This window comes from Homo sapiens, chromosome 1 (genome assembly GCF_000001405.40).
Source record: "Homo sapiens chromosome 1, GRCh38.p14 Primary Assembly".
NCBI classification, from domain to species: domain Eukaryota; kingdom Metazoa; phylum Chordata; class Mammalia; order Primates; family Hominidae; genus Homo; species Homo sapiens.
The window spans coordinates 210227086-210249560 of NC_000001.11; the positions used below are offsets into that span (position 1 = coordinate 210227086).

The 22475-nt window shown below is 43.1% G+C and overlaps 1 protein-coding gene and 1 long non-coding RNA gene across 5 annotated transcripts, besides 2 other annotated features; one reads left to right on the plus strand and one right to left on the minus strand.

Moving 5' to 3' along the window:
* Positions 1-4370: 4370 nt before the first annotated feature.
* On the minus strand, positions 4371-6800 carry SERTAD4-AS1 (SERTAD4 antisense RNA 1). Its single transcript, NR_024337.2, has 2 exons — positions 6550-6800; positions 4371-4686 (listed from the first exon to the last, which is right to left on the minus strand). It is a non-coding gene; the product is annotated as an SERTAD4 antisense RNA 1 (long non-coding RNA).
* Positions 5589-6122: an enhancer, noted in NCBI's record as "H3K27ac hESC enhancer chr1:210406019-210406552 (GRCh37/hg19 assembly coordinates)". NCBI's record gives its function as "activates a minimal SCP1, AML or CMV promoter by ChIP-STARR-seq in primed H9 embryonic stem cells {active_cell/tissue: H9 hESC(primed)}" and the evidence as "EXISTENCE:reporter gene assay evidence [ECO:0000049][PMID:30033119]".
* On the plus strand, positions 5711-19546 carry SERTAD4 (SERTA domain containing 4). 4 transcript variants are annotated; one of them, NM_001354173.2, is made up of 5 exons: positions 5711-5926; positions 10859-11050; positions 12408-12523; positions 18715-18842; positions 19487-19546. In NM_001354173.2, the coding sequence occupies exons 2-5, from the start codon at positions 10876-10878 to the stop codon at positions 19515-19517; spliced, it is 450 nt and encodes a 149-aa protein (NP_001341102.1). In that variant the 5' UTR covers positions 5711-5926; positions 10859-10875; the 3' UTR covers positions 19518-19546. The 4 variants fall into 4 exon arrangements, with proteins under 4 accessions (NP_001341102.1, NP_062551.1, XP_047281492.1 ...); XM_047425536.1 differs by lacking the exon at positions 5711-5926 and adding an exon at positions 10201-10383; NM_019605.5 differs by lacking the exon at positions 19487-19546 and having other exon boundaries at positions 14473-19170.
* Positions 11061-11571: an enhancer, noted in NCBI's record as "H3K4me1 hESC enhancer chr1:210411491-210412001 (GRCh37/hg19 assembly coordinates)". NCBI's record gives its function as "activates a minimal SCP1, AML or CMV promoter by ChIP-STARR-seq in naive H9 embryonic stem cells {active_cell/tissue: H9 hESC(naive)}" and the evidence as "EXISTENCE:reporter gene assay evidence [ECO:0000049][PMID:30033119]".
* Positions 19547-22475: the final 2929 nt, after the last annotated feature.

Genomic DNA, 22475 nt, shown 5'->3' on the forward strand with positions numbered 1-22475 from the left:
TACACAATATTATGATACACTATATTATGATACACTTTTACTTTCATGTACCCACTAGTAAAACCGGAACACTCACTCCTCTCAAAGATTCCCTTTGCTTTCCAGCCTACGTGCCTTTCCTCAAATTGTTTCCTCCACATTTCACTCATTCCCCATTTCCAGCCATTGAGAGCTACCTATCTTCAAGGTCAACTTCAGGTTTTACTTTCTTCACTACGTCTTTCTGGCTTTCCCAGCTGGATGTGATCGTCTCATCGTGGAACTCCCATGGCCACTGCTGTGCCCCGACTTACTAAATAGTGCCATCATGCCTATGCTTGCCTTATGCTACTCACTGTATTGACAATCCATAAGTCTAGGAATAGTGTCTTATTAATCTCTACTTCACCTGCAGTGCCTAGATCTATTCTTGCATGTAAAATGCACTTAATTATTGAAGTATTTTTGAATGAGTTTTGAAGGAGGATAAGAAAGAAAGTGGAGGAACTCTGAAAGGGTAGCTATGCCAAGAAATGATATCCTAGGCTCCTGGAGAGCAATTTTACACACTTTATTATCTTGTATAAGACTGTAGCTTAGCACAAGCATCTTGGCAATGAAGAAAATCTGTGTTGGGGGCAAGGCAGGCTGGTCCAGAGCACCAGCATCCACATGGATAAAATCTAGTACTGGGACTCTCAGGCAGGGAGGGCAGCATGAAACCACTGGGTCCCGGGAATCTTGGTAGTATCTTCAGGTCCTGGAAAGCTGCAGGGCAGATGGCAGCTCTAGGCCAGAGGATTCTGGGAGGCAAATGAGGTAATAAAACTAACTGCCTGTTTATCCATTCTACATCCACTAGATTAGACTAGCACTATTTTAGCCTTGTTTGGGTTCTGTATATACGTGAAACTGTCAGTCAGTTGTTCAAACAATCATTATATATTTATTGAGTGCTTTCAGTATGCCAAGTACTTGTACTGTGCTAGGTGCTGAAGATACGGGGGCTAACAAAAAAGACAAAAATCCCTCCCCTTATGGACATTACTTTCTAGTGGAAGAAGAGAAGTGATACATTGAACACATGCATAACAGATTAGAAGGTGATCTTTATTTTATCCTCTGGATGAAAATCAAGCAGGCTATAAAGGTGAAGTGTTAGAATTTCAAGCATAGTGGTCAGGGCTTATTAAAAAGATGATACTTGAGCTGGGATGTGGAAGAGGTGGACATGTATCTGTGCAGCTATCTGAGGAAAGAGCACAAAAGGAAGAGGGAATAGCCAGTGCAAATGTCCTGAGGACAGCAAAGCTGGCTGTTAGAGGAACAGAAAGGAGGCCAGAGTGGCTGGAGTTGTTGGAGGCAGAGTGAGATCAGAGAAATAAAGAGAGACTTCTAGTCTTTGCAGGCTATTACAAGAACATGGCTTTTATTTTGAATGGGGAGCTCTAGGAAGAGCCTTGGCAAAAATTGACACCATTGCTGTTGACCCGAGATTGAACTAGAAAGAGGGCCAAAGATGTAAGCAGGAAGACCAGTTAGGAGGCCATTGTCATATCCTAGGCAGAAGATCATGATGAAAGCGTGGACCAGAATGGTGGTGGTAGAGATAATGAGAAGTGATCAGAGTCAAGAAATTTTTTTTTTTTTTTTTGAGATGGAGTCTCACTCTGTCACCCATGCTGGAGTGCAGTGGTGCGATCTTGGCTCACTGCAACTTCCGCCTCCCAGGTTCAAGAGATTCTCCTGACTCAGCCTCCCAAGTAGCTGGGACAACGGGTGCATGCCACCATGCCTGACTACTTTTTTTTTTGTACTTTTAATAGAGAGGGGGTTTCATGATGTTAGCCAGGATGGTCTCAATCTCCTGACCTCGTGATTCACCCCCCTCGGTCTCCCAAAGTGCTGGGATTACAGGCATGAGCAACCGCGCCTGGCCGAGTCAAGAAAAAATTTAAAGGTAGCCTCTCAAGGACTTTCTGATATATTAGATAAAGGAGATGAAGTAAAAAAAATCAATGATGACTCTAAGGAGTTTTGTCAGAGCAAGTAGAAAAATACTGTTGTTTATTGAAGGAGACTATTAAAGGTGGCATAGGTTGGGAAAGCAGAGATAATAGGGGTTGAGTTTTGGGTCTGTAAAGCTTGTGATACCCATTAGGCATCTACACAGAGTCTGGAAGTCAGAAGAGAGTCTTGGCTACAGATATGAATTTGGGAGTCATCAGAATATAGAGAGTTTTGAAGGGAAGAGACTAGATGAGATCCACAAGAGAGTGACTGTAGAGAAGAGACAAGGTGCAAGGACTGAGCTTGAGGCAACCCAACATCCAGAGGTCCTAGATAAGAGGGGGAACCAGCAAAGGAGACTGAGAGGAACAACCAGTGAGGCAGGAGGCAAATCAGGTGGATGTGTTGTCCCAGGAGCCAAGATAAAGGCGTTTAAAGGAGGAGGGAGTGGGCAACTGGGTCAAATGCTGCTTAAGGGTCAAGTTAGATGCAAAATGGCCTTTGGATTTAACAACGTGGAGGTCAGTGGTGACATTGACCAGAACAGTTTCAATGGAGTGATCGGATAAGAAAGCCTCAGTGGAAAAGGTTTGAGAATAGAAGAGGAATTGGGTGCAGATGCTTCTTTTTGCCATTAAAAAAATGTTTTTTTTTTTTTTATTGTTGCTGTTTGTTTTTTTGATGGATTCTTGCTCTGTTGCACCCAGGCTGGAGTGCAGTGGTGCGATCTTGGCTCACTGCAACCTCTGCCTCCTGGGTTCAAGCTATTCTCCTGCCTCAGCCTCCTGAGTAGCTGGATTACAGGCGCCTGCCACCATGCTCAGCTAATTTTTTGTATTTTTAGTAGAGGCGGGGTTTCGCCGTGTTGGTCAGGCTGGTCTCAAACTCCTGACCTCAGGTGATCCACCCGCCTTGGCCTCCCAAAGTGCTGGGATTATAGGCGTGAGCCACCGTACCCAGCCAAAAATGGTCTATTTTTTTAAGCCAGTAATTTTAACTTTCAATTAATCCAAGTGGGTATTGTGTCCACAACAATCTGAATAAGTCAAATTTTACTTGTGAAATCCCCCTATCAGACAAATGACAAAAAGGTTTTGTGAAATGGGTTTCAGCAATTTTAAGTCTGAAAGTCTCTTTGTTAAACAAAGGAAAACAACCACTGCCTTCAGTAAATTTGCAGCTCAAAGTATTATAAGTTTTATAATCAAACTTCTATTTGGAGCTTCTCACACACACACACACATACACACACACACACACCCCAAAATGATGACATCATAGTTGTCAATTAAATATTGTACCTCATTATAAATAACAATTACTCATTCCAAATTTTTCATTATTGATTTATAGTTGGTTCTTTTTTCATGCCATAGCTACCACATAGTCACCTTAAATTTGTAATGAGGTTTCTCATTCCATAGACATTTGTCTGCCTCTTGTACTTGTAGACACAGGTTCATGTTGTCAACAGTTGGGTATTGAATCTCAAAAAACATTAAGCTTAGGATTAAAGGTAGGGCAGGGAAAGCTGTCAGTAAAACATGCTAACCTAATGTATCTGATGAGGACAGGGTCTAGTTCATACTCAGAACTGCAAGGATGCTGTGAAGTACAATGATTTGATACTTGTGATACCATTTTGTTGTAACATTAAAGCCAAGAGTCTTCTCCACCCAAGGGCAATGCCAGTTTCCCAGAAGGCTCATTTCTCCGAGCCAAAGCTCCAAAGATGCCAGTGCACCCATGCTGATAACTTAGTCTCATGTTATTTCTCAATTTTATGCTTAATTTGCTCCTTTTGATTTTATGTATTTTCACACAGCCAAGTGTACATGGGGATTTACCCATAGTCCTTTAAATGCCATAAAACTTTAATATAGGGAGATAAAAACCATAATAAGCCATGCCTCCAAACCCTCACATTTAGTTCTTTTGAGTTTGACAATAACCAGTTTTAGATTATTTGGAAATTTGGATTTCTACGTACTTGCACTGCTTTAAATGCCCTTGTGCCTTTCCTAACCCTCCTCTCCCACCCAGATGAAAATTATACTCTACTCTTAACCTGGACATGCAACTTCCATTGACTGCACAAAATGGCATCTTTACAATTCTTAAATTATCATCATAATGGCCCACATCATGCATGAGCCAATGCAATTTAATATGGTTCAGAATAAAGCCAAGATGGATGCCCAATTCCCAATTTTAGGCATGCAACCCTGGAATGTCTTTTGGAAAAAATGAAATAATGCTCTTGGTAGGCTGTTGGGTTCATCTGTTTTAAGCATAATTGCCATCTCTCAGCTTCCTAATACCCTTAAAACCTCTGAGAGTCTTTAATGTACAAAGTTCAACAAAAACACCTTCAAAACAAATTAGTTCTAATTATGTTTAATATTGGTTTGCTGCTTTATTGAATAATCTACATTTGCTTTTAAAAAAAGGAAATTCACTTAACTGCATGTCAGTCACCCAAGTTTTAAGTGTACAAATGAAATGGAAAACATTTATTACACAAATTTAATTACAATTCTAAGAAATAAACATGCAAATTAGATAGAGTTCAATTTGCAGATGCTAATCCTCATCCTTGATCTTGTTCCTTCCTCCCTTGATTTTCAGTCTGTGCGTCTTCTTGATTCCTAGGGAGCCAGGCAGCCAGAGGTCTGGTTTTTCACAGTCGGAGGATCACTGTTTTAAAGAAGTGTTATATTTAGCACATCTGGTATAGTGGCAGTAAACAAACATTATAGTCTTTGTAACACTTTTGTGCAGGTGCCTTCTCCCGATTTTATTAGGTCTATGCCTTCCAAGCCTCTGCCTTCATTACACCTGAAATGACCCATCTCGACTATGGAGGGGTCCCTAGACAGAAGTTATGAATTAATGATTTTAAAAAATAAACTCTGAGGCCACTATAGGAGAAAATTACTATTTGCAAAATATTCTGATTCCAAGGCTTAAATTACATTCTCTTGAGCAAGGACAATCTCTTGTATTACTTTTTATTTCCTGGAGGTTTTCCCTGGAGGCTCCCCACCCAGAAAGGGTTGCCAATTCAAGTTGCAGCAGGACCAAGGTTGCTTTTTTTTTTTTTTTTAATACGTACGCAGCTCAGGAGGGAAACGGGCGGGGGCGGGCGGCGAGGGAGAATAACTGTTTGGTCCTGCAAAGACATCTGTTTCTCATCTCCGTTTGCTGTGGCAAAGGAGAAGAAAGTCTTTTGCAAAGGGTGGGAAAGGCACAGATTTTTTTTTTAATCACACGCACACACAACAACAACAAAACTAAACCAAATTTAAAAAGACAAGATATCTCGGAAGGTTCCAGAGTGAATACATTATTCGGCTGGAGCCAAGCCCCCAGGGCTAGGGCGGGAGCCCGAGAGCGCGTGGGGTCTGGGCTGCGGGCTGGAGCTGGGCCCGCGTGTCCCCGGGCACCGGGAGGGGAGGGGAGGAAAAGGAGGAGGGAGGGCGGGAAGCAGGGAAGGAGGCAGGGGGCGGGCTGGGGTGGGGGTGCGGGAAAGGCGCCCCGTGTGCAGCCTGAGGAGCGGCGGCGGCGGCCTGAGCAGAGGGAGGGAGGGAGAGCGGGCGCGCTTGTCATGTTCCCTCTCTCACCCTGGGGGCATCCTGCAGAACCTCTCCTCGGAAATCCACGGGGAAATGGCAAACAGGATTGACGGGTTTCACACGCTCCTCGCTAGACAGAGCCGCTCATTACCATAACCGTCTGCAGCGACGGCGGCGCAGCGCCCCAGTCGCGGCGGCGGGACCTGCCGGGACCCTTGCCCGCCGCGCACCCGCAGTCACCGCCGAGCGGGCGGCCGGGCCGGGACCCGCGAGTGTGCACCGGCGGCCGGGCTGGCGCCGAGCCCAGAGCGGACCAGCAGCAGCTCAAGCGCTGCGGCCGCCGCCTCCCCGCTGACCCCGCGGTAAGAGCCGGGCTGGGCGCGGGCCGCGGGGGCGGGAGGGCCGGGCAGGGTGGAGGGCGAGGGCCCCCCGGGGCTCCTGCCCTCGCAGACGGGCACCCACGCGGCCTCCCGCGCGCCCTCTTGGCACCAGGGCTGTGCCGAGGTCACCGAGTGGACTCGCAGCGGCCGGAGCGGAGTCGGGGCGGCGTGGGGGCCAAGGCACAGCTGGGCGCGGAGGCGGCGCGGGCTTTTCCCTGGGCTAGCGTGCGCCGCGGCGCCTTCACCAGGGCGGGAACCGCCGCCTCCTCTAGGGCTGCTCGGGCTGCCACCCGCGCGCACCGAGACAACTCCAGGGGCGGGTGGGGTCAGAAGCTCTGGTGAGACCTCATGGTCCTCCGTGGCCGCTTAGTCCCTCATCGTAGGGGAAGGGGTTAAGTAGGAGGGGTGCCCCCAGGTCCGGATGCCGCGGCGCTTGGCAGGTGGGGAGAGAGGGATTGTGGATGTCAGGAGCGCGCGTTTGCAAGAAAAAGGAATTGATGCAGTAGCTGACACCTTCTGTCCCCCGCCACCTCCGCCCCCGCACCCTCCTCCCAGGCAGCAGAGCTGCGCTGCGGGCGGCGGCGGCTCCTCTGTCCTCAGCTCACCTCCTCGGCGGGCTGAGGCTGCTGCCCGCCTGGTCCACGCCTCCGCCTCTCGCTTCCCTTCCTCCCCTCCCGCCTCTTCGGCCCTAGCAACTTTCCGAGTGCCCAGCTGTGGTCGCAGAAGCAGGGAATAGGCGTCCTCGCCGCCAGGTCCCACGGGCGCAGGGCGCTCCCGCAACCGCGGGCTTCCAGCGGGTTTGGCCGGCAAGGGAGGGAGGGAAGGCCGGGCCGACATCTGCTGCGGGCTGGAGCGCGGGGGCCCGGGCCAGCCCCGCCAGAGCCCTGCCAGCCGCTGTGAGTCATTTCCTTGGAATCCTACCTTTGGTGTTTATTTCCCTTAGAAGGAAACTTGGTTTTTTTTTTAAAAAAAAAAAAGGATAAGACATAAAGAATAATAATAGCTCTTATTCTTCAGAAGAGGCACACGGCTGCGGCACCGTAGAAAGACAACTTGCCTTTGTTCCCGGACACTTGGGGTGTTGTTTACTTTCTCCTGCGGCCAGCGGCCGACCGGGCGCTGCTGGCTACCCGGGGAGGGGCTGAGGGCTGCGGCACCGACACCCCGGGGGTGTGTCTGTGCGGGAGCCAGGATGTGGTTGGTGGCTGCCGCCCGCCTTCAAGAGGTCGGCCCTCCAAACCTCGGACCCCACCCCCGCAACCGCCACACACACACACACCTTGGGCACCAGGGCTCGGGCATCGGAGCACCCCTTCGTGCTCTTTAGGCCCAGCACCTGCAGCCCCAACCACAGGACCCAGCTTCAAGCTCTTGGCCTCGCGGGGCTGCAGCTGAGAAATGTACTTCCCAGGGCAGACAGGTGTACTGCAGGAACGGCAGAAAAGCGACATCTGTTTGTTTAGAAGGGTTGAAGAATTTTGTTCCGCCCATCCAGTCCCTTCCACTACCACCACCAGGAGCCGGACAAGCTATTGAGATCATTTTGGGACAATGTGGAGGTCAGGGGCTTGATGCCATTTAAAACTGGCAGCATCGATCGGGGGTGGAAATAGCCCTTTACTTCCCTGCTTTCCAGTGCTGGAATCAGACTGCTAACTGCTATAATGATCTTAATCAAATGCTCTCCAATTTTCAATGACAGATGGAAGAAGAAGTGAGCAAAGAATGACCTGGAGCCCCTTGTTAGATTCAAGGTGCCGCTGAATTCATAGCTACCCTGTTTTGTGTGCCAGCCACTCCTATTAGCATCATAATTGCTTCTAGGAAAGAACAAGCCCAACTCATCTGGAAAAAAACAAATTGTATAGAAATGCCTGGTAACTTTACTACGAACATTTGCTGGAAAAGCTTGGCATTCTAGCCCTCAGTCTTCTGGGGATGCTGGAAGTGTCATTCCACTACATCCACCTGGGTGTCAAAACAGACATTCAGGAGCCTGAGGATGAAGGGTTAGGGCTTTTTTTTTTCTTATCTTTTAAACCCATGCATAGACAAAACACACTCTAACACCCTCCTGTTGAATCCATCACCTCTGATCTTAGAAAATAAATTTTGCCATAATGTATATCCTTTTCTTTATTTAATATTAATAGAACACGAATTTGTGGACTTGAATTGCTGACGTCAGTAGCAGAATTATAAATCTTATCAGACAGAGAATTATGACAGTTTAGATCTCTACATATAATACGAAGAAAGATTCACGTTAAGCATTTGTGCTTAACGCTGCCCTGTCCAATTTTTCGTGAACATTCAACTTGCCTTCTTAATTTGTTAACATCCAGTGTAAGTTTTAAATAGACTAGGAAGACTCAATTGCAAAATCTCCTCCCCGCTCCCAAATAATCCCAACTCATTCATGTTTTATTCAGATTTACATAAATCACTTGCAGAACTCAGCCTCTCTAGTTTAGGGTTTTGTGTGTAACAGTTCTCAATTTAAAAAAGAAAAACTTAGTAAAATTAGATATTGTGAACAAAATAATAGCCAAGATAAATACTGTTATGCCATGTTTCAAGTTCACGTGCATAATAGGATATGCTGGAAATAATGCTAACAAATAGAAACGCTGAAATTCCTCACAACCAAAAAAGGTACTACCAAAAAGTTATTAAAATATAAACAAACTCTGACAAACATAAAACAGCACAGGGCCCATATAATGTCCTGTTAAACAAAAGTAATTGCTGCCAGGAGCCTGCAAATGTTTTTCTTTCTTAAGGGGCATGAGTTTGACAACCTGCTTTTGTTTACATGAAATAAAAGTCTGCATAGGCAAAAGGCTTGCATCTTATTCCCATGATCTAACACAAAAGTGAGTGTAAACTTCAAACTAGAAAATGTTGATTCTCTCAATAAGAAAGGGCTGCTGACTGTTGAAAAGCTGTAATTCATGTGCTCTTGGCAATAGTATTTCCTGATATGATTGTCTCTTAGAATAGGTGAAGAAACTGGACAATTTCATGAGAGTCTTCCAGGGAATAAATCATCATGAAGTTTGATACCCTACTTGGATGAGGAGTTTGAGAAATGATAGACAGAAGGACTTAATTTGTTAAATCAATGTAGGCTAAATTTCTTTGTTGATGACTCAAAGAGAAAAATAAATGACATGTCCCATCGTTTCTTTGTAAAGATTTAATCGAACCTTTCTTTTGCCCACTTGTTTTAAGGTTTACTAATAAGTCCGTACTGATGTCTCTTTGGAGGGCATCTTAAAAGAGAACGGGGAGGTGTTGTAGCAGCCCAAACCAGCTGAGTCCTAATTCTCTCCACTGACCTGTACACCTTCCCTGTCTGTCAAAAGATCTTGCTTCATTATTCAGTGTGGTTGGGACAGAATTTGAGACCTCAGAGAGAAGACTGGGTGAAAGGTAGAGTCATTGCTGCCAAGAGCTGCTCTTTTAGCCAGAAGGACATTGTCACTTTAATGATGCTATTTCGCCTTACCCTGGTGTTTTTCCTCTTTTTCCTTGGAAGTGGACCCTTGTTATAGCATGTAGGTAATAATAGTCTCCCACGAGACAATGGTAGATTCACTCTTTCCCAGAAACATTACAAGCTGTATAATTTGGAAAAGAAAGCAAGAACTGGGCCCTTAGTTTATGTTTGAAAGACAATCAATCTTCAGAAAGCCTGACGTCACTTGTGTGACAGTTCTTGAAACCACAGAATGAGATAGTGGGGGCTTGAGTCTCCTAAAGGGATTGGCAGTTAAGGAGGCACTGAGGTTGCGCTACTGTCACCACTGGTCTATGGCTGCTAGGTCTTTTTACCTTCATATCAGACTCTCCTCTCCCTTGAACTTACTCTTGACCCTACCTCGAGACCTGCAAAGGGCCAAGTGAAGACACAGAGCCCCCATGAAAGCGGCCTCACTGCCTGAGCTATCGAGGGGCCCAGGAAGCCTCACAGAGCAGAGAAGCTCCCATCTCCCTGCAGGCCCAAGGGAGAAGGGCGTGAACTGGAGAGAAGGGCAGTGATGTGTTGCCTCTTGGAAAGTTCCTGCTCTGTGTCTGGGCTTTGCAGTGTAAAGAGTTGTTGGCTGCCTCTGGCCCCAGAGCCTGGCTCCTGTTTAATATTCTGCCTGCTCCGTTGATGTTGTGCTTGGCTCCTGTGGGACTGCAACTCACGGCTTGAAACTGGAGCCAATTTTCTGTCTTCATCTCGCAGTGTTTTGACTGGAGGCAGATCCAGTTCAGGCCGATCAGGGCTGGTGGAAACAACTACCAAGTGTCTCTCTGTCTGCTTTGCTTTGGGAGAAGAAAGTGGAGGGAGCCCCAGCATGTTGTAGAGGAACTGGCCTGCGGAAACGAGAGGAGGAGGGTGCAGGGGGCAGCGGAACAGACTGAACCTCAGAGCATCAGTTGGAATTACGGTGGATATTTCTGCTTCCCCTGCCCTTTTCTTTTGATTGATTAGTGGATTTCATCAAAGGAGACTCCCGGGGGATTGACTAGAAAATTGATTTTGCCTTATTAATAGAAAGGAAGCGCAAGGGTTTTGGCTTCTTAGCAGTACATTTTCTTTGGAAGGTCAGGAGGAAAATGTGTTTAGGAGGCAAAGCAGCTGTCTAGAAGAGGGCTGAAGGGAATCTGAGAACAATAAGAAATGGGGTTTTAAAGATCCGCCCATGAAATGCAGATTGCTGAACACAGAGGCTGAGCTAATAGCAGCTAGAGAGTTTGCTGAGGTTTTCTTTGAAAAAATAATAAAATGTTTCAGGGTAAAGGGGAGGGCCGAGAAGTAAAAGTTTCCCAAAGCAAAGAAATGAAGATGCCAAGGCCGTCCCTTGGCTTGCTCTTGATTAGGGCTGTTTTCTTCATTCTTGTTTTTTTTTTTTTTCTTTTCAGATCTGAGGCTGTCAGAGATGACTCTGGTTCTGTCCATGAATAGATTCTGCGAGCCCATTGTCTCGGAAGGAGCTGCTGAAATTGCTGGGTACCAAACACTATGGGAGGCTGACAGCTACGGAGGCCCAAGCCCCCCAGGGCCAGCACAAGCTCCTTTGCAGGGAGACCGGGGAGCTGGTCCCCCACTGGCAGGTATTGCCCTTGACCTGCGCCCATCCCCCCCACCCCTCGCTGCCCTTTGCAGCCAGCCTGGTGGACAGGAGGTGGTGTCTGGGGTGCCCCTCTGAGCCAGGAGAGCTAAAGCTCCAGGGACTTCCCGGGCTGCCTGTGCGCCTCTCATAAGTGAGTCCAGAGCTCCAGAGAGAGGACCAGAGGTGATATTTAAATTGCATTCAAACCTGTGTCTACCCATGCTGCTTTTTGAATATAAGTCATGTGTCTGTATTTTTAAGAGGGCCAAACCAGATATTGAAACTCTGAGTTTGGGTTTTGGTTTTCTACCCTGTGGAACTGTATGGTTCTCTCACAACTATGAAAGCTCTGGTGGGCTCAACAATGACACCTTTATCCCATGAGATATAAAGGAATCTGCACTTTGGGCCAGCAGCTATGAGCTTCTTTTCTTTGTTAACCCATTTATGCCCAGTGTTCCATTATTGGAACGCTAAGCTTGTGGAAGTTATTTATATCCTACTGCTCAAGGTCATCACCAAGGTCTGACTTTTCAAACACAAAAAAATTTGCAACCTATGGCATAAATGGGTAAAGCACACAATTGGTTTTAGGATTGTAGGAAAAAAATTTAAAGCCAAGAAAATAGAAGTATGTTCTTCCTGATTCTTTCTTCTTATAGTTTAAGTTCCTTTGGATTTTTTTGCAGTATTAGCTATTTTTAAAAGAAACTAAAATATAAAACAAGTACTCAATGAAGTCTGTTTTGCTAAAAAAGATTAAAAACTGTGGTCTTCATGGTTGGCATACTACATTTTGGAGAGTGAAAAGGACATTAGTTACCCAAAATTTTAACTCAAATTTTAAAAATTTGAATTTTGTATTTTGAAAAAAAGGAATGCTATAATCCCAATGTGCAGATAACCATTTGTTCACTAACCTAAAGCCAATAAGATTTCAAAGTTGTTTGGTTATCAGTGGTTACAGTTAAAGATGTATACATCTTTAACAGTGGTGCTATGTTGTCATGAATTTAATTAAACAATTTAAATAAATACTAATATATTTTAGAGAAATTACACTCCTCCCCTTTATGAATGTTGCAGTTTCCTTTTGCATAGAATTAAGATTCTGCATATTTATTAAATGCTAAAATATGTGATTTTCCTCTATAATTGCCTAGAAATCTTTTCCTAGCCTGGGTCACAGGATTCCATATGATAGCAACTATTAAGACAAATGTTTATTTTTAATCACCACATGTACAGACAAATATGTAGCCAAGTTATCCTCTAGAAGGAAAGGAAACGAAAGTATTTTGTTTGGAGAACCTCTGGCAAACCGCATGTCATTTGTCATATCTGATTTATTACCACAGGATCACATTACAGGGGAATTTCAAATCCTATAACAACATCCAAGATCACATACTTTAAGAGGAAGTATGTGGAAGAAGAGGATTTTCACCCACCACTCAGCAGCTGTAGCCATAAAGTATGTTTTTTTAATAGTCATTATTTTTATTAAGAGTTTAAGATACTTAGTAACAGTTGCTTGATCCACTTCCAGGAATTAAATTGTTTCACCCAAGCAATGAAAATGAGCCACTTCTCAGTGGAGCCTCATTAATCGTTGTCGCTTTTTTGGGTCCTGTGTTATTTTTCACAAGTACTTGAAGAAAAAGCTGGCAAGAGCTATTCTACCCAGAAATGTCAAAATTATGTAATCCAAGGAATTTTTTTTAACGTATGATTTAATATTTCTCAGACTGTGTTTTGGGTTATGGTTCTTCCACACTTTTGTGTGTGGGGAATGCGCTCGTTCTTTCCTGTCATGTTCTCCCCAGTCTGAGTTCTGGCTCCTGCAGCCAATGCTACTTCCCTGTGTGTCCACATGGGGGTGGTTACACAGGGCTTTTCCTGACCTCTTATGGGTAGACTCATCATCCTTGAATGTGTGTATACAAGTAGAAATATGCACTTCACTGGACATGGGTTACATATAAGTTTGTTGAAACATGGACTTCATTTCCAGGAAAAGACCAAAGCTAACTTTTTTGTAGGTATAGTTAAAAAAAAAAACAAGATGGGGAAATTGCATAGAATTATGAATCTGGGCATCTAAGCTTTTGAAATATCAGTTCATTTTTCTTTAGAGTTACCTTCCTTCAATAACTATCTGCTGATTTAATCAAGGCAGGTATAAGCACAGACCATAGTTGTCTGAAATGCAGAGAGGATTTTCAATTCTTCTTCCTCTCTGTCTCCTCTTGCCTTCCCCCTCTGCCACCTCATCCTTTAGATGTTGCTTTTACCTTGCTCATGAAAAGACAGCAGAATGCATTGGTAGGTACTGGGCTTTTCCCTGCATGTGTAGTCCCTGCCTTTGGTCAGTATGGGCTGGTTTAGTTCACAGCTCCTCAGGTTATGGTGCCAGTTTGCTTTTTTGATGGCCTGGAATAACTGGTCCCCAGGACACAAGCAGTTTATTTCCTTTTTAGTTTCTGTGTTGTGGTTGTAGCAGTTTCCCAGTTGCTACTGGATTTGCACCAACCATCGCATAGTGACAGTGTCACACAGCTCAGGAGTGAGCCCTCTCATTTCCTCTCGGCATCTCGTCTCCCACTCAGCTCCACAAGGAAGCCTACTTTGGTCCTTCAACTGACACATTCTGTCAGGGTCTGAGCCTCATTCATTAGTGTGTCCTCTTATCAAGCAAGGATAATTGCAAGTATGAAACCCAAAGGATTAAAAGAGGGACAGCATTAAAAGCCAAATCTCATGCTCCTTCTTGGCTAGACCAGGGTTTGAAGTATATTCATTATGACTTGCATTTTGGCATCATTTTAAAAACATGTATTGATGTACAATATATGAGTTATGTGTCTGTGTGTGTGTATTTGTATAGACACACATAAAAAAGTACAGGTATCACAGTACAGCTTGATGAATTTCATGAGGTCATGTAACTAACATCCAGGTCGAGAACCAAAACATAACTAGCAACCAGAATCTTCCTTCTGCCGGCTTCTAACACTACCCCTCGCCCCGCTCACCCCAACTCTGAAAGTACCTCCTCTCCTGACTTCTAATAGCTTAGATTAGTTTTGTGTTTCAGCATCTTCCTTATTGGGCCATAATAGATCAAACCACCTGAACTGTCCCTCCTGGGGCCTGCACTGTGGCTCGATTCCCTAGTGCTTGACCACACCAGTGAGTCAGGAAGTGGGTGGGTGCTCCAGCCAAGTGAGGAAAGGGAATATCAGCAGAATGGGGGACAGCCTCTCTAAATTAACCCTGCGGAACAAGACCACAACATGCCCAGACCCAGACAGTGCCAAGAAAGAAGTATGCTATGATGATGTTTTCATATAGTCCATTTTCTAAGCTTTCTCTCTTCCTTTTTCTGTTTGTTTTTTTCTTTTTTTTTTTTTTGGTTTGTAGACCATCTCAATTTTTGAGGAACGAGCCCACATCCTTTATATGTCCTTAGAAAAGCTAAAGTTTATCGATGATCCTGAAGTGTACCTCCGAAGATCTGTCCTTATAAACAATTTGATGAAAAGGATCCATGGAGAAATTATCATGCAGAATAACTGGTGCTTCCCTGCCTGCTCTTTCAATGGCACCTCTGCCCAAGAGTGGTTTATGGCTCAAGACTGCCCTTACCGAAAACGACCACGGATGGCCAAAGAGGAATGTGAAAAGTTTCATGCCTGCTGCTTTTACCAAGAATGTGGTGGCCACTACCTAAATTTACCCCTTTCTGTCAATGCTAATGTTGGAAGTGCCTCCACTGCTGCCTCCTCTCCCTCCGCCTCTTCTTCCTCCTCATCTTCCTCTTCCTCTCCCCCTTTGCCTTTACCGAGTTGTTCCCGCCAGGTGGATTTTGATGTAGGTAGTGCATCTATTTACAAGAGTGATGGCCAGATACCTGCCAATGAAATCTTTGTCACTAATGTCAGATCACTTGGTGTTCAGGAAAAGGCCAAATTAAATGATGAGAAAGCAAATGATGACACCAACAGAGATGGTGGCCCCCTCAGCCACGAACCTGTGGGAAATGACCTTGCTTTTGAGTGCAAAGGCCAATTTTATGATTATTTTGAGACCGGATATAATGAAAGAAACAATGTAAATGAATCTTGGAAAAAGTCCTTACGGAAAAAGGAGGCTTCACCACCAAGTAACAAACTGTGCTGCAGCAAAGGAAGTAAAATATGAGCCATCTTCTCACCGAACTTTGAAGCATGCACAGCATGATCAGTTAGCTCTCGTAAATTTTATTTTGAATGGATTTTGTAGTTTTGTACAACAGATAAAATTATGCCATGAACATGCCATGTCGTTTTAATGCCTGGAGAGCAGATTGCGTAAAACATCTGTATAGCAGGCATCAGCGAGCTTCTTATAAATGTGGTGATTTTTACCAAGGAAACGATTGACTTAATGCTTAAAAGTATATCATAGTTTTCTTACGGAAAAGATCAGTAGATGAGATTGGGGGACAATGTGCCCTTGCAATATTTCCATTGCCCCCCAAGGAGCCTGTCACTAGCTAAGAAATTTCTACATGTTTGCCAGTTAATTAGGGAGTTATTTGGTAAGCAAATCAATATAACCAGCAAAGATACCTGCTTCTTCTATATGATACAATATTTTTTTTAAATAAAAGACTAAAGACAGGGAGCTAGATGAAATGGCTTAATGGTGCTGTTAAGTATTTGTACCTAACAGTCTTGTGTGACAGATGAAAATAGGATGTAACATAATGAAACACACCTGTCTAGGGGCGGCAATCAACAGTCTTACACAGAGAGGGTATTCCCTGCAAGTTTCTGGCTTGCCTGTGATGGGTGATGAGGCTTTTAGAGAGGTGTTATACAGGGCGATTTTTGGTGCCTTACTTTTATCTTAATTTTTGCCAATGTGAAAATTAAGGATAAATCAGAGTTACAGCAGGGATTTAACAAACAGGACAAAAAAAAAAAAAAAAAAAAAACCACAGGGTGGATCAATATGGTTTGGAAACTGTTAACTTTGAACTATTGTGTTCAGCTTTTGATTCGACATCTCTATTCTTTATTTTTGATGCCCAATTGCTTTTGGATTCGCCGTTTTTTCAATAGGGATGGAGGAAATGAGAGAGAGAGCTGTTAGAAAGCAGCACGGGCTGCTCGAGCTTTTCTATGGCAACTGTGTGTTGCTGGGGTTGGGGTTTTCTGGGTTTTGGGTTGTTTTGTTTTGTTTTCTTGTCCAATGAAGTTCACGAACCAGTGGCATGCATTATACTTTTCTCTGTTTTGCATCATTTCACTTGTTTAGATTATAAAAGCATGTGGGTTTTTATATATGAACTTTGCTGTTGATTAAGAAGCACAATGTTAATAAATGATGTGGTGATCAATAAGGTTTATCTTAAAGAATGTAAAGACTTTAGGTTTTTGAAAGTTATTTTGGAGAAATGGGACTTAATCTATAATAGTTACTATGTATTTGGTCTACATTTTCCAAATAATATCTTTAACTTGTACATTTGAAAAGTGTTCAGAGTGGCCCTCCTACCATCCTTCCTTCCACTCCAGCCAACTCTTCCTGCTAAACTGTATTCCAGTTTCCAAGTTTACTAATTGACTTGGGCCTGTTCAAATAATACTTCACAGAAACCAAATGCCAAACGGAGGAAATAAGTAAGCCCTCCCAGTTTCTCCAAGATAAAGCTTTTTTTATTATTGCTATTAATATTAAATATAGGTCTCATTCATACAGTGTATGAGTAGGATCATTTGGACAATTGTCCACAAAGACCAATTTTTAAAACATTTTCTTGTGTTATAGTTAAATAGTCTAGTAATGTTTTGTCCTTTATTTTCAATATTTGATAAACATTTGATGTTCAAAACTTAGCTAATAGATGCTTGTATATGAATGTGTTGTAATAAAGTGAGGTTTTCTTGATATATATTTATTAAGATGATAAAAATTCATTAAGTTTTTTAAATTTTAATGGCTATTGGCTATGTTTCTCTTTTCCATTATTCTCTCTCCTTTAAAAAACTCAAAACATCTAGAAACTGTAGTGGATAGTGGCCACACAGGAGTTTTCTAAATTAAAGAGTATTTTAAAATGCCAATCTGACAGGTGTTTCAGAATGATCCTAGTTCGTAAGTTTAAGTTTCTATTGATTAAGAAGCACAATGTTAATAGATGATGTGGTGATCAATAAGGTTATGTCTGAAAGAATGTAAAGATTTTCCTTTCTGGAGTGTCTCTGAAAAAAATTGTATAACACGAAGCCATAAATACTGAATCTTAGCTGATTGCATTATGAACTGTCAAACTGTGAAGATGACCCATATGTAAACAGTTATAACAGCTACAGATTATTGCTAGTAGCATTCCATACAATTCCATATTAATGTTCTTAGGAGCTAATATTTGATAAAGGGGAAAGCTAGTTAAAAACTAATTAATTTGTCAAATGTAGCATTCTTATTATGAGTGTAATATCTCATGGAGATTTAAATATGAACGAAAGGACTTATCCTTCTGCTTTTTAAAAGCCCCAGCATTACTAGATAGTGTTTTTCTTGAAGGCCAAAGCTGTAAAATGACAAAGTTGGTGATTTTCAGCAGCACTCACCTGAGCTGTGAGCGCCTGCACCTGTTCGGTAGAACCCACTAGAATCACTTCTCTGTAGGATAAGTGATGCCTTTGAATCCAGCAGCATAAAAATCTGTTCTTTTTAGTCATCAAGTTTTTGTTTCCAGGATATTTCTAGCATTGCAAAAAAAAATTTCTTCACCAAACACTAATTCCTAAACACCCATCCAAACCACAAAAATTCTCTTGTTAGTAGGCGAGAGTGCTAGGACTTCCTGTGTTCACCTCCCATGCACCCAGCATTGTCTTTTATGCATGAGATATTCCATTAGATTTTCCTAGAGTGGCCAGGACACCCTTCATAGTAAGTTATATCTCTTAACTGGATTCTATAGTTTTATCTCGAGCAACTTGGAAAAGCTAAGACATCCTCCACCCACACTGGTATCTACGCGCCTGGAAGCTGCACCTTCTCTCATTGCTGTGCTCTGCTTTAAGGAAAACCTGATATGACAGAATCAAGACTATTAAAAGATAAATGAGGGGAAATCTTCATTTAAGAAAGTTGCCTTGCTCCCCAAGAGTGCCTTTAATTGCTATTCCCCTAGGCATCTGGGTGCATATCATTAATGAAATCATTAACCTTTGTCTCTGGTCCTTCCTTTCTAAAAACAGCAGATTATAGAAGGTGGTCTGGCAAAGGGATTTTCAAAGGGCAAAAGTCTCATCATCATCTTTCCACTCAAAATCCTATTATTCTACATTTCACTTTGCAGGGGTCCTAGGGACAGGATTGCAGGGACAGGGGACATGGGAGGAAGACAGAAAAATTCAAAACCAGCAGATGCCACTACCTGGCAATGAATTGAAAATTAGGGGAAAGCATCTTTGGCGTGACCTTTTATTAAGACAACAGAAATTTAGAACATTTTACATGCTTCTTTGTTAAATGGTGAAGCAAGGGAATGAAAGTATTTATTTTTAGAGCTCATAGTTAACTCCATCAAGACATGGCTACCCACCCCTCCAGTTATGAACTTGTATTACAGCTCCACTTGGTGACTTCCTTTCTGTGTATCAGGAGCAGAGCAGAGGACAACTTGTAGAAGACATGACCATTAAGAGACATCAACTTCGCAACAAATATAAGACAAGGATACAAGGATTCCTATGTGATGCAGCTAGGTTTTTATATCCTTCTAACAAATGGTGAGCAGGAGACTTTTTTGGAAATAATTAGTTGTGAAATTCCATTTTTCTGACAGCCCCTTAAATTTGAAGTTATTTCATTTGTAGTTAAGGTTATCACATCCCTGCCAATTTTACTAGATTTTTTCAGAGACAAGCATTCAGCATGGCATTAGTAATGATGGTTTAAACTAGGTGCAGAACTGTCCCATGAAGAGAAGAATGATATCAGTATTTAAATAATAAAAGAAGAGACAATGTATGGTTTATAGTGATTCATTTTAAGATTGCTGTATTTTGATTTTGTGGTTTAAAATAAATGCATTAAGGATCTTTTAAGTTACTACAAGATGCCTCTCTGTTGCTTTCTTAGCTATAGTGCCTAAGCAAGGTATATTATCTTGACATGGCTAAAATGTCTCAATTCTATGTGATATAGCTACACGACCTGGGGTGAAAGAGTTACTAGTTTGGAGATTATTTCCCAGCCTTGGGTACCTGCCATATTTGAGCTGGGAGAACTCACTTAGGAAAAGCACTTGCAAAGATGTAAGTTATGAACACTTGAATCTCGCATCCTGCCATAAAGTGCATCAGCAAGTGACTTTAATAAAACATGCTGTTTAAAATAGTCTGTAATTTCCTGTTTCTGCATTTCCCTTCAGTATCTGTGACAGGCTGAAGAACGATGACTAAACGAAGGGAATTTACACAAGCTAGTCTGGTGGTGTTTGCAAACCATCGCCATGAGCTTCATCTTCTTTGGTAAACAATCCGCTGGTGGGCTGTCTATGGTTGGTTTCTTTTCTTTGTTGTTGATCCAATTTGTTAACTTTGAAAATGCAAACTACTTATTCACAGTGTGGAAACACCTGCTTTTGACCACAATGAAACTGATAGAATGTATGGCGATGTATTAGTTGTTTCTCATGAAATTTCTTATATTTCTCAACCCCATTTCTATGACTCTTCTCTTGATTTAAAAATATGAAAATCGAATAAAATCTTGTGGGGAGGACCTACATATAAAAGAACTTGCAGAGATGTAAGTTATGATCTTGCTTTGTGCCAAGATCTCCAAGACAATAGGCAAATATCAGAACTTTGGGGGAAAGGGATCTAACGTACCCTAGTCTTGTGCTGTGCAGACCAGCCTGGCCTTCGGCAGGCATTACCTCTATCCAGATCTTTCCATGGAAGCAGCTGAGTCCAGGCATCAGGCATATGATTCTCCACTGCCTCCTCTGGTCAGCACACACATGAACCCATCTTTGATACTTCTAGACGCAGTGCTTTTTCTTCAGATACCCTCTAAAGTGACTGCAATGAACTAAGCTCTCAGATGTGGTAAGACCCTGGTATCCTCTCAGCCAAGAGATGAGTAGATGTCTCTGAAATACACTTGGCACAGCACTCAGATATCTATACCATCTTCAAAACTCACAACATCCCTGTGTGCACAATAAGCAAAAGATAGAGAATGACAGGCTATGCAAGGGATTTGCGCAAAAGGTTGGGGAGTTGATCTCTGGTCCAGTACACTGAAGGAAATCTGAGAAATACAGTGCTCCCTGTACACTGCAGAGTGAATCCACTCTCTTTAAGGAAAAGTCTAAAGACTGCAAGGGAAAGAAGACAGAATTTTTTGTTTCTTTGTCAAACCTCTTTAGGAAAACAGAAAAAAACATTTCAGGGACTAAAGGATTGTTTTAAATGTTTTTGCAGGAAGAGAGAAATGGCTTGTCTGCCCTTTCTGGAGCTGGGAGGGGTTCTCCTTGTTCTCCATGTCCTTAGATGCTGTGCTTTTCAATAAACCCACCAAACTGTATTTGTGAACAGTTATGGTCATTAGCCCAAGGAATCTCTCTCCTGTTCAGTTTAGGCACAGAGGTTGTGGGTTTCTCACAAGACTGGAGTATAGAAGAGGGTTAAGAGTAGGGGGTTTGGAGTTAGACTGCCTGGATGAAAATCTCAGCTCTGCCAGGGTAGCTGTGCAAGCTTGGCCTTGGCCAACAAGCCACTTTACCTCCTAGTGCCTCAGTTTACTCATCTGTAAAATGGAGCAGCACACATTATCCACCTCATCAGGTTGTCAGGATTAAAGGTTTTAATATCAGGGAAGTGACTCAACATTGCCTGGGTGTACATTATGGGTTTGCAGTGAACAAGCCTCCATGACTTCTCCATTACTGTCCTTGAATGCCCGGCAAGTGGAACCCAACCGTGCCAGATCCTCCTTTTGGTGGAAAGTATTCAGCCTCTTTGGTTCTGTACAGCAAGCTTGAAGTTAAACAGGGGGATGGTATGAAACCTGGGGTCCCAGGGCCCTTAGCTATGAAAGTCGTCATTGGTGACCTTGAGATATGTTTAGTATTTAAAATACCAAATCATAAAATCTTCTGAAAGTGGTTGCACAGGCTAACCCCACATCAGATTTCCTTACCTTTGGCTGGAATTAAATCAGCTCCAGGCTGTCACAAACTGAGAAGAAACTCTGACTGGGAAAACGAAGGCATTATCCTTAATAAATACAATTTGTTTGTCAGACAGAATCTTTCAGAACATTGGCTATGTGAAGGGAATAAGAGGTGTCCCTTACAAATGGAAAGATTAAAAACCACTAACCTCTGACTCATCTCTAGGATTTGCCAAAGTTCAAGTTTATTTAGTTGTTGTATCAAATAATTTTCTTAAACCTAGCTTTTACTCAGAAAAAGTACAGTATTAAGTTAGGAAAAAAAGGGGGGGCAGGCGCGGCAGCTCATGCCTGCTGGTAATCCCAGCACTTTGGGAGGCCAAGGCGGATGGATCACTTGAGGTTAAGAGTTCAAGACCAGCCTGGTCAACATGGTGAAACCCCGTGTCTACTAAAAATACAAAAGTTAGCCGGGCCTGTGTGGTGGGGGGCGCCTTTAATCCCAGCTACTCGGGAGGCCAAGGTAGGAGAATTGCTTGAACCTCAGAGGCAGAGGTTGCAGTGAGCCTAGATGGATCCACTGCATACAGCCTGGATGAGGAAGTGAGACTCTGTCTCCAAAAAAAAAAAAAAAAAAAAAAAGGCAGGAGGGGGGCAGGGGAGATAATTTAGACTAAACGCTATTCCTTGTGCTCCTCTACCTGATAATTTTGGAGGCCAAAGCAGAATTGTCTGGATAACCACAACCAAGGACACAGCCTATTATAAAATAACTGGGATACAGTTTCCATGTATAAGGTCAACTAGAGGTTGGTTATCCCTATTTCAAATTCTTATCCCTTCTGTTTTGCCAGTAAACTCAGAAACCCACTGATAATTTCAAAATAGAATTCCATTTACAAAATTACATTCTGTCTCTCTATTTTTGAAGAGTATATATTTTTCCCTAAGGTGAGGTTCATTTGTAGCAGGCTTGCTGATGGGTAGGTCCTGAAATGAGAACAAAACTGAACCATATGGCTTGAGAATGAGAAATGGGCAACAGAGTATAATGAGAGCAAATGCAGTGTTGTACCATGGGGGTCCCAGGACTTCTCTGCAAGAGGCTCCCCTCCTATCTGACTGGGCTAGGATCTCATGATTGGCAACATTAGTTGCCATTTGAGCCAGCTGAGAGAGGCAGTGGGAAGCCAGGACACCTCAGCCTGCCCAGGGAGGTCTAGGCTGGCCATCTCTAA